General features: G+C 38.6%; 1 protein-coding gene across 1 annotated transcript in view, besides 1 other annotated feature; it reads left to right on the top strand.

The window, feature by feature from the left end:
* The window catches only part of TOX (thymocyte selection associated high mobility group box), a 313,736-nt gene that overhangs the window by 71,160 nt on the left and 230,025 nt on the right, over nucleotides 1-12,551 (top strand). The gene's annotated exons all lie outside the window — the stretch shown is intronic.
* Nucleotides 7,171-7,371: a silencer, noted in NCBI's record as "peak7040 fragment used in MPRA reporter construct". NCBI's record gives its function as "represses an SCP1 promoter by STARR-seq MPRAs in K562 erythroleukemia cells {active_cell/tissue: K562}" and the evidence as "EXISTENCE:reporter gene assay evidence [ECO:0000049][PMID:32103011]".

Here is a 12,551-nt window from a genome sequence, read left to right as displayed (position 1 = left end):
TCATACACTATTGAATATGTTTCTATTCTGAGTATCATTCCAAATTGAGGCTGGATGTTTTTACATCCATGTGAAATGCAAGAACTTATATTGCAATAATTTTTTCCTGTTAGACATAAATATTCTTTATTCATAATGCAAAGACAGAAATTTTAATTTTCTGATAATGTTGTTTGTAATTGAATTCTGTGATGTTTTGAAATTAGCTTATATGGTGTTTTTAAGCCCCTTCTGTCTTTGAAATTCTCCAAGCCAGCATACTGTCATATTCCTGTAGTCCCAGCTACTAGGGAGGCTGAGGGTGAAGGATGGCTTGAGGCCAGTAATTTGAGGCTCTAGTGTGCTATGATGGCGCCTGTGAATAGCTACTGAACTCCAGCCGGGACAACATAGTGGAACCCCGTCTCTAGGAAAAAAAAAAAATCTCTGATGAGTCTCTAAGGGCTCTATTTGCAGAACAATTCAGCCGGGCGCGGTGGCTCACGCCTGTCCCAGCACTTTGGGAGGCCGAGGCGGGCGGATCACGAGGTCAGGAGATCGAGACCATCCTGGCTAACAAGGTGAAACCCCGTCTCTACTAAAAAATAAAAAAATAAAAAAAAAATTAGCTGGGCGTGGTGGCGGGCGCCTGTAGTCCCAGCTACTTGGGAGGCTGAGGCAGGAGAATGGCATGAACCCAGGAGGTGGAGCTTGCAGTGAGCCGAGATCGTGCCACTGCACTCCAGCCTGGGCGACAGAGCGAGACTCCGTCTCAAAAAAAAAAAAAAAAAAAAAAAAAAAAAAACAATTCTTGGTGGAATTGTTCAATAAAAACTAACCTGTTGCATGTAATTAGTTTGCACAGTGAGTGCAGGTAGGTACTGCTGCTAGCTGTGAGCAGAAACACAGGAAAGCTGGAGCGCTTGCTTCTTCCCTTTCTCCATGGACACATTCTCCACTAGCCTGGCCTATGCCATAGTGCAGAGCATTATTACCAGTGAATAGACATGGAATATATGCTTTGCATATGCAGTTTTTAAAACATGTCACTGCGTGGTGGATGATGATTCAGTTTACTTAGACTGCATGTCCAGAGTGTCCTTTTTCTTTTCCTTTTTTCTTTTCTTTTTTTTTTTTTTTTTTTTTTTTTGAGACATAGTCTCACTCTGTCTCCCAGGCTGGAGTGCAGTGGCACAATCTTGGCTTACTGCAACCTCTGCCTCCCAGGTTCAAGCGAATTCTCATGCCTCAGCCTCCCAAGTAGCTGAGACTACAGGTGCGTGCCACCACGCCCAGCTAATTTTTGTATTTTTAGTAGAGGTGGAGTTTCACCATGTTGGCCAGGCTGGTCTTGAACTCTGGACTTCAAATGATCCACCCACTTTGGCCTCTCAAAGTGCTGGGATTATAGGCATGAGCCACCACCCCCGGCCTAGAGTGTTATTTTCTAACAGGAAAATGGTGTTTGTTCTTTCAGTGCCACAATTGTTCCCTATTTGTAAATTATGAACCCTTTGCAATCCTGATTTTCATTAACACCTAGGTTATTATTTAGTTCTCTGAAATTGGAGCTTGCCAATAAGATCCTCAGGACTGAAAGTGTTAATGCAGCTTGGGCACTGGGAGAATTTGGTTGTGTTGAAATAAATAATGAATAACAGGGATTTTTAAATCCCCATTAAATATTTAATTTATAGAAAGCTTCTGCAGTGCCATTATTAATTCTTAGTTGAGTGTTTTAAACTTTTTTATTGTATGTATATTGAATATAAAATGGCCTGGCACATGGTAGGCTCTCCATAAATATGGAATTTATGTTATTATAGTTTTGGTGGTTATTGTCCAATGAATGATTGAATGAAAACATGCAACATGGAGGGTAAAAATCATCAGCTAGCAGCAGGTCTCTGTAACTGTTATAGTTTCCTAAAAGTCATTACACACAGAGCCCTTAAACCCAGGGGACGGCAGTCACCTCTGAGCGCAAACACAGGCACTATTTGTGATTGCAGGAGAAGGGCAATATCACCAACTTAGCCCAGAACACATTGAGTGACTTTGTTGGTGCCACAGCTGGAGCCTTGTTTCACTTCTAACATTCTGGTAAAGTCACTCTGAAGTCAAGGGCAAAAGAAGCTCTTCAAATATTTTGGCCTCATTCCATGATAATCACAGGTACTCTGCCAGCAGTTTTGTTTTTGAGTCCTATAAAAGTCAGCTTCTACTAAATTATTACTTAATCCTTTCCTAAGTTAGAAGAGACCACTAGTTTTTTCAGGCAGGAGAGGAGTAGAATGAAGCACAGGACCCCAGAATTTTGCTTATCTGGTTTGGATGTTTTGAGCATGCATTGGGTTTGCCTCCCAATGGGTTGGGACTCATTTTAACTTGAGAGATGTTTGAGGGGCCGAAAATGCTCCAGAATTTGTCGTGACCTTGCTGTATTCTACAGACCAAACTACTATGCATCTAGACTGTACCATTATTCAAATAACAACCACGGGAAGGAAATAGAATCCTGGCTATTAAACATCAAACATGATTTCTTTGCGTCTCAGCAGCAGAATTATTTTTGCACCAGTTACAAGACTTGCCTATGAATTATTTAAAAAATAAAATCTTGAGCTCTGAGGCATTTTTGAAAAATCTTTTATTACCACCATCACATAAACATAGAAAAGAACAGATGTGTGCTATCAAAGGTGAAACTCTCTTTCATATTTGAAAAGAAATACAGTGCAGTTGCTTCTAAATATAGCTCGTTTAAATAATAAGAAAAATGTGATGTGTCTGCAGGTAATGAAGGACGTAAAAATTAAGAAAGGAGAATCATGGGAAAGTAGAAAAGAACAGGTAAATAGTTGAAAAAAAGAATGAAATTGTCTAGGAAGAAAAAGTCTAATTTTCACCCAAGAAAGGCTGGAAAATAATAACAATTACATTATTTTATTACATTAGAACAATTCTGTACAAGGTGAGTGTGCACTATTTTTGCTTAGAGAAATGATATGTGTAGGTTAAATGGAATGATAGCCTCAGTGCCCTAAGGCATTCCACGACTAATACTTCAATTCAAAATGAATTTTTGAAAGCAGTAAAACATGTGTGTAGCCGATTATTCATATGATTAATCTGTTGGTTTTTCCTTTTATGCTTTCTTGTGTTTGATAAGGAGTTGTTTATAATATTTTTCCCTTGAAGGGGACATTTAAGTGAGTGATGCCATTCATCCTTAAAATACATTGTTCAACTTTTGTCCAGTCTTTACGCAGGTGTGAAGAGGAAATGGGTTACATTTTGAAAGAGCCTTGGTGGAGAATCTTAAAACCCTCTATTTTAACACAATAAAAAAAGAGATTTAGATTTTTTTAAAATCATGTATGTTAGGTGAAGGAAGCATCTATTTCTGGGGAAATAAGCTAATTTACTTTAAATCATAAAAATTTCTTTTACAGAAAACTCTCTGAAATGCTTTGAATATAAAATGTTATAAATATTCTGTTGTCTCCTCCAGGATTTTGGAGGCATCATCGTAGCCTGTGGAAATGTGGATGGGGATTCAACTCTCTGTAGTCAGCAAGGGACAGGTGGGAAATCTTGTTTTTGAAGAAGAGTGCACTTGTAGTAGCAAGCTACCACAGTCAACTTTCACCTCTGCCAAATGTGTGATTGGCTTAAGCTACTTATATTTTCAAATCTGTTAATTATTCACAGTTTTGGCAGAGCTGTTGCTTCACACAGTGTTGGTGGCTGTCGTCCACCTTTTTTTTTTTTTTTTGATGAGTGCCATGAAAGGGAAAATGGAATTTTTTTTCCTTCTGAAGCCTTTAAGGATACCACCATAGCTTTTCTGAACAAGAAACAATTTCACAGTTTTATTATGGAATGGGTGCTAACCTCCCAGCATAATTCTGTGGTTTTTAAGTGTTACACCAGAGCTGGCTCAGAGAAATAGCTATATACAGAGAATTTGGTGGGTTCCAAAAGAGAAAAAGGAACAGAAAAAAGGAAGAGTACATTTTGTGGTTGCAAGACTTATGGTTTAGGGGACCTCTTGGGGTTCAGTGCCATTCAAAGGCAGGAAGTATCCATTCATAAGTCTTGGTCCCTCTCTACTGTATTTGGTATCATAATTTAAATGAATTCAGGGCTGAATGCCAGCATCAATCAGTTCCACATGTTTGATCAAATCTCTATTCCTGCCTACGTAGTCCTTTCAAAAGGCACGCTGTACTGGAAGCATGATAGCACTACTCGGGGCTACCCATCCATCTCGCATTTCTGGCTAGTGAAGGAAGTCATGAAGTTGCCTCCATGCTCTATAATGAATACAATTTCAGGAATTTCTAGCTCCAAAGAAGTGATACTCCTTTTAACACTACACAGTTGACCCGAGAGTATTGCCATTGTTTGAAACACTATGGAACACCTTTTCTATAACCGTCTATAGAGAAAGGATCTATGAGACATGATATGCATGAACATTAGTTTAGCTATATAGTTTATTATATAGAGTCAGTCTGTTACTCAATAGATTACCTATTTTATTAAGTTCTGATTTTTTCCTATAATTTATTTTGAAAATATTCAAACATATTAATTATATAATAATAAATAAAAATACTTAAAAATAAATAATAAACATTCAAACATAATTTAAAATAAAGCTAGATTCTACCATAACATTTTGCTGTACTTTAACACATATCTAGTTGACTTTTTGATAGTTTCTCCAATTTCATTTACTGGAAAAATAAAGTTTACACACAGACACACACAGATGCACACACACACACACACACACACAGAAAAGAAAGTAGGTAATTTCAAAACAAGAGTTTTGAGATAAATATGGATCCAGTTGAATACTTTAAGATAGAGTAGAAAGGTGATTACCGGAGGCTGGGGGCTGGAAGTAGAGGATGGGGAGTTTTGGTTAAAGGGTACAAAGTTTCAGCTAGACAGAGGAATAAGTTTTTTGAGATCTATTCTACAACATGGTGACTATATTAATAATAATGTACTGTGTATTTCTCAATTGTTGAGAATACATTTAAGATGTTCTCATCACGAAAAATGCTATGTGAGGTGACTAATATGTTGATCAACTTGATCAGTCATTCCACATTGTATATGATAACATCACATTGTACCCCATAAATACATACAATTATAAATTACTAATTTACAATATAAAAGAACACTCTCAAGATAACTTTAGTGCCTTAAAAAGGACTAGTTAATACCCATGTTAAAGTTCTGGTATACAATATTTACTTAAAAATTAGCTATATTACTTTAGAGTCACACTTCATTTATGGCTTCAGCTATATGATGACTTTACAAATAAGATTAGATGTAGACATCTAGAAACATGGAACTAAATTACAAGCTATGTTATAAGAACTAGGTGTATGGACTTGACAATCAGCAAAGATGAATTTGTGGAGAACCTGTTGTGTGATACTTTAGATCCTCCCATGCTTTTGCATAATAATAAAAATGCAAATAGTTCCTATAAAGAAGTAAATTATTCTCAGTTGTTCCTCCCTTGTTAAGATTATGGATTAATATACAAAGGTGGTATCTGACAAAAACGGAGCATATTTATCTTTAAAATGCTAAAGTTCCCTCTGGCTGTAAAAGTCTTTGATTCAGTAAGCTCTGAAATGGCGTTCTGACTTCAGTATTAAGTAGTCATATTTGAAGGATATTAATGTAGATGTGAATGAGAGGAAATGCTGTTTGGTTGAAGAACTTCTGATTCTTGACAGGCAATACTCAGGGCTCCTTGACATGCAGTGCAAACACCCATGAATATCAGATTCCCGTAATCTTGGATTTTTTTGGCTCGTAACCCTTTACTATGTAGCGATCAGAATGCTTTAATACTTGGACACTATTTGTATTTTATTAGAAACCCCTTTGGTTGTAGTACAAGTGTTCCCAATTAAAGGGAGTACGCTATATGGAGAAAAGAAAACTAGGGAGAATTTTCTTTTCAGTTGCATTTGATCTGGCAATATTTTAAGGAATTCTATGGGCACATTAATGCAAGGAAAACTTACATAACGTACATAACATAACTCAGGAATTATAAATCAACAGATTAAGAGAAAATTTTAGAATTTTAAATGTAGAAGAGATCTCAGAGAGACTCTTTCACTCCTCCTCATTTTACATACAACATGATGGTGGTAGACAGTGTTGATTTCATCGACTTGCCTAAATTAACTCTTGTAATAACGGGCAGATCCAAGACAAGAATTCAAGACCTTTAACTTCGATGCCTATTGTTTTCCTACCATATGTCAGATATTCTGACACTAGCGTTTTTAACTGTGATTTATAGCTAAAGGCACTGGGGCACAAAGATGAAGAACTTGCTGGAGTTTATACAGCTAGTGAGTGGTCAAGCTAGGATTTGATTCAGGTTGGCTGGTGCTAGCCTCCATGCTTCTAAACACAAAGTAGAATTGCTATGAGTGAATGAATGAATGAATGAATGAATGTGCTGTGAGGACAGAAAGGAGCTGTAGCTCACCGGAGTTTGCAAAGACATAGAGGTTGAGATTAAATAATGAGTACACATTTTGAAGGGGAAAAATGGTAAACAGCATCATAGGAACAGGTCACGGACTCCTGCCTGATGAGTTTGGGGACACTGATGCCCCTGAGTGAGGCTCAGGATGGGGGAGTGAAAGAAGGTGCCAGAGCAACACAGTTTGGTTCAGATGGTAACAGTGGGGTGTGCCACATTAAGAAATTTGAAATCAACCCATCAATTAAATAGAGAAAGGGAGGAAAACAATGTACATTTAATACCTATTAAATGAAAATACTTATGAAATGGAAATAAAGCACCCGATGCCAGCTCCTTTAATGTTTTACACATGTACACACACACACACACACACACACACACACACACACACGGAGTCCCTTTTATGAAGTGCCTCCTGCTGATGGTCAAAGGTCTCCCTGCCAGTGAGTGATGGGAGCACAGGATTGTGACAGGTCCCAACTGATGCTAAAGCTTATTTTGACCTCACCTGGTTCCTGAGGGCCAATGGAGGCTTTGAAGCAAGGGTGTGTCCTGCTCACAGTTTTTTGTTTTGTTTTCAGCCAAGGAGCCAGGAGCCAGGAAGAAAGGACCAGTGAGGGGAGTGGGAGGGTCAGAGAGGCGGGGCCATCCCAAGCCCAGAGGCAGCACCAGCTCCTAAGGCAGTGAGTAGCTTGGGGCTCTAAAGGCAGTTCTGATTTGATTCTTCCTGAACTACCCTTGGACTTTCTAGTCAAAGTGTGCTTTGGTCGTGCTGTGCAGATGTGGCCCTGGTGACTCAGCAGTGCTGTATAATTGGGTCTATTGCACTTCAGTAGTTGGCTAGGGCATGAGGTTGATCCCTCTGTGAGCAGGTTTTGGTCTTGTTGACAGTTATACACTCAAATGGTTTGTTTATTTAACTAATGATTAGTGCCTTTAGCACAGAATATTAGCACTCAAATTAGTGTTTGTTGAGCTTGACAAAATGCCCATGATTGGCAGGGTGGGAGGTTACTGCTGTACCTAATTTGAGGGGCTCAATAGTTGCTGCTGATGGTCTAAGATAGCAAATTCCATCTCTGAATTTTCTGAGATGGAAGGAAATTGATGCTTCTTTTTTTTTTTTTTTTTTTTTTGAGACGGAGTCTCGCTCTGTCGCCCAGGCTGGAGTGCAGTGGCGGGATCTCGGCTCACTGCAAGCTCCGCCTCCCGGGTTCCCGCCATTCTCCTGCCTCAGCCTCCCAAGTAGCTGGGACTACAGGCGCCCGCCACTACGCCCGGCTAATTTTTTGTATTTTTAGTAGAGACGGGGTTTCACCGTTTTACCCGGGATGGTCTCGATCTCCTGACCTCGTGATCCGCCCGCCTCGGCCTCCCAAAGTGCTGGGATTACAGGCGTGAGCCGCCGCGCCCGGCCGATGCTTCTTAGAATACAGTTTTTATTAAATTATTTTTCACATTTGAAATTCTCCGTGAATTTCTGTTAAGCAAGGAACATTGGAATTATTATATTTTTAATGAGTATAACATTTTGTGAGTAAATCAAACTCAAATGTTAATTATGAAGTGTTAATTCAATAAATAATGTGTTGTTTCTTCAAGCTCGTACTTAAAAAAAATTATTTAAATTAGCTCTCCTCTGTCCAAAACCAGAAAGTAAATACATAAAGCTTTTCTATTTTTGCTGGATATTTTTCTGAAGGTAAAAACAAGCCTCTTTCAATAATTTACAGAAATGTTTAGGATTCTTTAATGTTTAGCCTGAAGGGGAAATTAGTGAGATGCCAGAGTGAAGTAGTTAGGGTAATGATAAGAGAGTAATGAGAAAAAAATGGACAATGGAAGGACATTATCCTGTCGGAAGGATAATGAGAGGGAATAAGAGATGAACAGAGGAGGGAGCATTCATGAAAATCAGCTGGGAAATGCATTGAGCATAGGGAAATAATGAAGATGTAAACAAAAATCCTAGAATTTTTACTCCTTCAGCTGTCTGCTTGTTCACTACCAAGGGAAGTGTGGAGCACTGCTGAACAGTGAGCAATCCAAAGCAACCGTGGTAAAGAATAGGAAGGAAAGGAAGTGTAACAATAGTTATTTCCACTTCATACACAGTTTTTAGATTCATTAGAAGATTGGAAAATATTTGATAATTGTTGCTTTCAGTCATAAAGGTATGTGAACAATACACTTGCAATTCATATCAAATCCATTTGATGAAGGTTGGTTGAGTTTGACATTCTTTGCTTAATCGGGCTGGCTCAGACTTTTTTAGATAAGTCCACTAATGAATGATTGATGTGAATTGACATAATGTAGGATTACCACAGTGTGGTTCGTAAGTGACTTCAGTGTATTTGGGAATATTGTTTTAATTCTAAAGCGGGGTAGGGAGGTCAGAGGTCATTTAGCCCAACTGTCATTTGGTAGATGAAGAAAACAAAATCCTGGAGAATCTAAGTGCCTTTGCCTGAGGCCAAAGCTGGTGTGGAGCTGTCTAAGAATTACTGGCATTCCCCGAGTCCAGTGAGATTTCATCACATCACACTGCTCCCGCATCGCGGGGCAGGCTGCAGGAGAGCAGGACGCTGTCCCTTTTTGCTGCCATTTTATCAGTCAACTTGCTGACTTCAAAACGGAGCTAACCCAAGGGAAAATAAGTACACATTATTTTTTAAAAAGTCAAAAGTGCCCAAGATGGCAGAAGCCAGTGCTGTGGGGGTAGTGCACCAGCCCAAGAGCCAAGCGTCCTGTCTCCAGGGTTCCTGTTAATTAGCGAGCCTGGGGAGATAGCAAATCTCATCGAATCCAGGTTTCTACCAACTTGAAAATTCTAATATAATTTCATGGGTGCCAAGGAGAACCTGAACTTTTAAGGACATTTGTGGTTTATGCCTTATCAAAATGAGGAAAAGTAAGTAGTATAATCTCTCTGAAACAGCTACTGTTGTTATTGAAAAATGATACTATTGGCTGAAAATCTCAGATGGAATGTGAGAAAAATGTTGATGTGTCAGCTCTACATAAGAAAGGAGATATCACAAGCAAAGAACAAATTTCTGATTATAATAAAACCAAACCAAACCTAACTGTGTTGCTGCTGCTATTTAATTGTCATCTGCCTTACTAGTCTTGTATAGGCATTTATTTGATTCATGAAAGTTTAGAAAACTCCCACCTCAACTTTGTGTTCGGGTAGCCATAAATTATGAAAGGAACTTAGTTTCTTTCTTTATAGAAAAATGATATGTTAACTGTTATGACAGATCGAAATGTAATATTTTAAAGGCTTCAGTTAAAATAAATTGCCTGAGTTTACCATTTTAACTATGGCATATGATTAAAGTAGATACACATAAAATTCATGTTGGATACCTAATTCAGGATTTAATTAGTGTCACTGTCAGGAAATTCTTCCACAGGGAAGTCTGGCATTTCAAAAGTCATAGAGACACTAGATGTTCTCTAAAACTGTCTTGGAGCCCTCTGATTTTATTATTGTCCTGTGTAATGTTACTATTTCATGATACTTTTTCAACATTAACACAAAATAGATGAACACACACATTTGATGTTTTTTCAGGATCTTAAGAAAGGAAGGGTGGCTTGTTTGGATAATAGCTGAAGAAGAAAAAGTACAAATTTTTTTTTTTTTTTTTTTTTGAGATGGAGTCTCGCTCTGTTGCCCAGGCTGGAGTGCAATGGCATGGTCTCGGCTCACTGCAACCTCCGCCTCCCAGGTGCAAGCAATTCTCCTGCTTCAGCCCCCCAAGTAGCTAGGATTACAGGTGCCTGCCACCACGGCCGGCTAATTTTTGTATTTTTAGGAGAGATGAGGTTTCACCATGTTGGCCAGGCTGGTTTCAGACTCCTGACCGTGTGATCTGCCCACTTTGGCTTCCCAAAGGGCTGGGATTACAGAAAATTCTGAATTAACAAAGAGAATGAAGAAATATGTAGACCCAAAGAGGAGAAAAAGCAGTTTTATTTTGTTTTTATTGTTTTAAGTACAGAATTGCGAGTACTATAACATAGCCCTAACAGTTCACAGGAGGAACATGAGAGTAAGTAGACTGACAATCTGACTCTACTTTGAATTTTACCAGGACCTTAAGAAAGAGAGAAGCAGGGAAGTGGGCAGTTGAGACAAAATTCAAAAATATATTTAAAAAGTTAGACATTCAGGAAACATCCAAAAGGAAATATACCAACATTTGATAATGTGTGAAAAAACAAGCAAGGATGTAATCAAACAGAGAGGGCCAAGATAAAGAAGGAAAAGTGAAAAAAAAAAAAAGGAGCTTGGAAACATTGGAGCTTCTGATAGTTGGGTTTTAACCTTTCAATACAAACGCCATCTGGATTCACAAGGTAGGATATTTCTGACAGATGAGAAAATGACTGAATAATATCCCAAAAAAGCCCATGTAGTCAAACTATGAGCAGCTCTTGACACGCATTCCAGGTCATATAAGGAATTGCCAGATATTAATCCAGAAAGACCATTGTTTTGAAGGCCTCTTCATGAAGGGGAGAAATGCATGAAGGCTAAGGAAGGATTAGACACACACGGGGTCTATGTTTTTGTAAAAGACAGAAAGATGACTTTCTATCTTATTATCTGCAAAAATAAAGCAATCTGTTTGTCACAGACCTTATTAAGACAAATAACATCATAGTCACACACATACACACATACCCCAAATGTATGAAGAATCAGTGAGATCAGTGTTAAGACCAGTAATGAATAAAACAATTTCATCTATAAACACTGATACTATAGAAAAAGATGGATGAATTACCTAATACATCTGAATGTAACTTAGTTTGATTGATTGATGGTATTTTCATGGATAATTTCAGGAGGAGCCTCACCATTACACATAGATTAACTGTTGGGTAGAGGGTTTGGACATAGGTGTGTTTAGGATGTCTACAATTTTAACTCTCTGGTGAGACTAACAAGGTCCTGAAATTGTTAAAAATTCAAAAGAATTTTCAATAAAATGCAGGATAAGACACAGTAGAGATAACACAGTCTCCCCTCATTGAGTGAGACAAGAGGCCGTTGCAGGGATGAGAGGCCAGAGTCTCTGGGCCTCTCTCACTGTTCTTTGAAATGTCATCTGCAGTCCATCTCTGGCAAACGATATAGTTTCCAAAGGGGATCAGCTATTCTTCATGCCTTTAGATACTGCATTTCCTTCCCAAGAGTAAAGAACGTCCCACACCCGTCCTTTTCACCTCATTGCTCTTATTCATACTTAAATATTCAACTCAAAGAGCACCTCCTCCTGGAAGCTTTTCTAATATCCCCTACCCACTACCTAAGTCTGACCTGCTTTTCTTTTCCTGAGCTTCGAGAATACTCTGAATACAACTGCTAGGGGAACAACTATATGTGCTGATGAGAGGCAAATGCTGGAGTTAGTGCCTGGGCCAGCAGGACAGTTTGACCTCTTGAAGCTGTGTGGTCAAGGGGAGTTACATGACTTCTCTGGGCCATTTCCTCCTCTGTAAAGTGAGGATAATAGTAACCACCTCATAGTGCTGTCACAATAGCTTAAATGAGTTCACATATGTGAACAATTAGAACAGTGCCCTCTGGCTGGCACATGGTAACCACTGTAAGTGTGAGCTGTCATTGTCCTTCTTTGCACCATCATTGTTTCATCATCATTATTGTTATTATGATTATTTCTCTATGATCACTGATCTAAAAAGAAAAATTATTTTCAGGACATTTTTGGCTTTGCAGCCTGAGTGTCTAGCACCCTCAGCACACAATATTTTTCACTAAATGTTTTGTTGAGTAAATAAATAACTGATAAAAAAAATTGAGTGGTTATTTATAGGCTCTGAGAGATTAGATGTTAGCAATGAAATGCATGGCTTCTGTTTGTTTGCTTAAGCAAATATTAAAAATTGGTGTCGGGCGTCGATGCACTTGTAGTCCCCAGTTACTTTGGAGGCTGACACAGAGGATCGTTTGAGCCCAGGAGTTGGAGGCTGCAGTGAGCTGTGATTG

The sequence above is a fragment of the Homo sapiens genome, chromosome 8 (genome assembly GCF_000001405.40).
Source record: "Homo sapiens chromosome 8, GRCh38.p14 Primary Assembly".
NCBI lineage: Eukaryota > Metazoa > Chordata > Mammalia > Primates > Hominidae > Homo > Homo sapiens.
The sequence above is the reverse complement of the archived record's forward strand: the minus strand, read 5'-3'. Positions and strand labels throughout refer to the sequence as shown.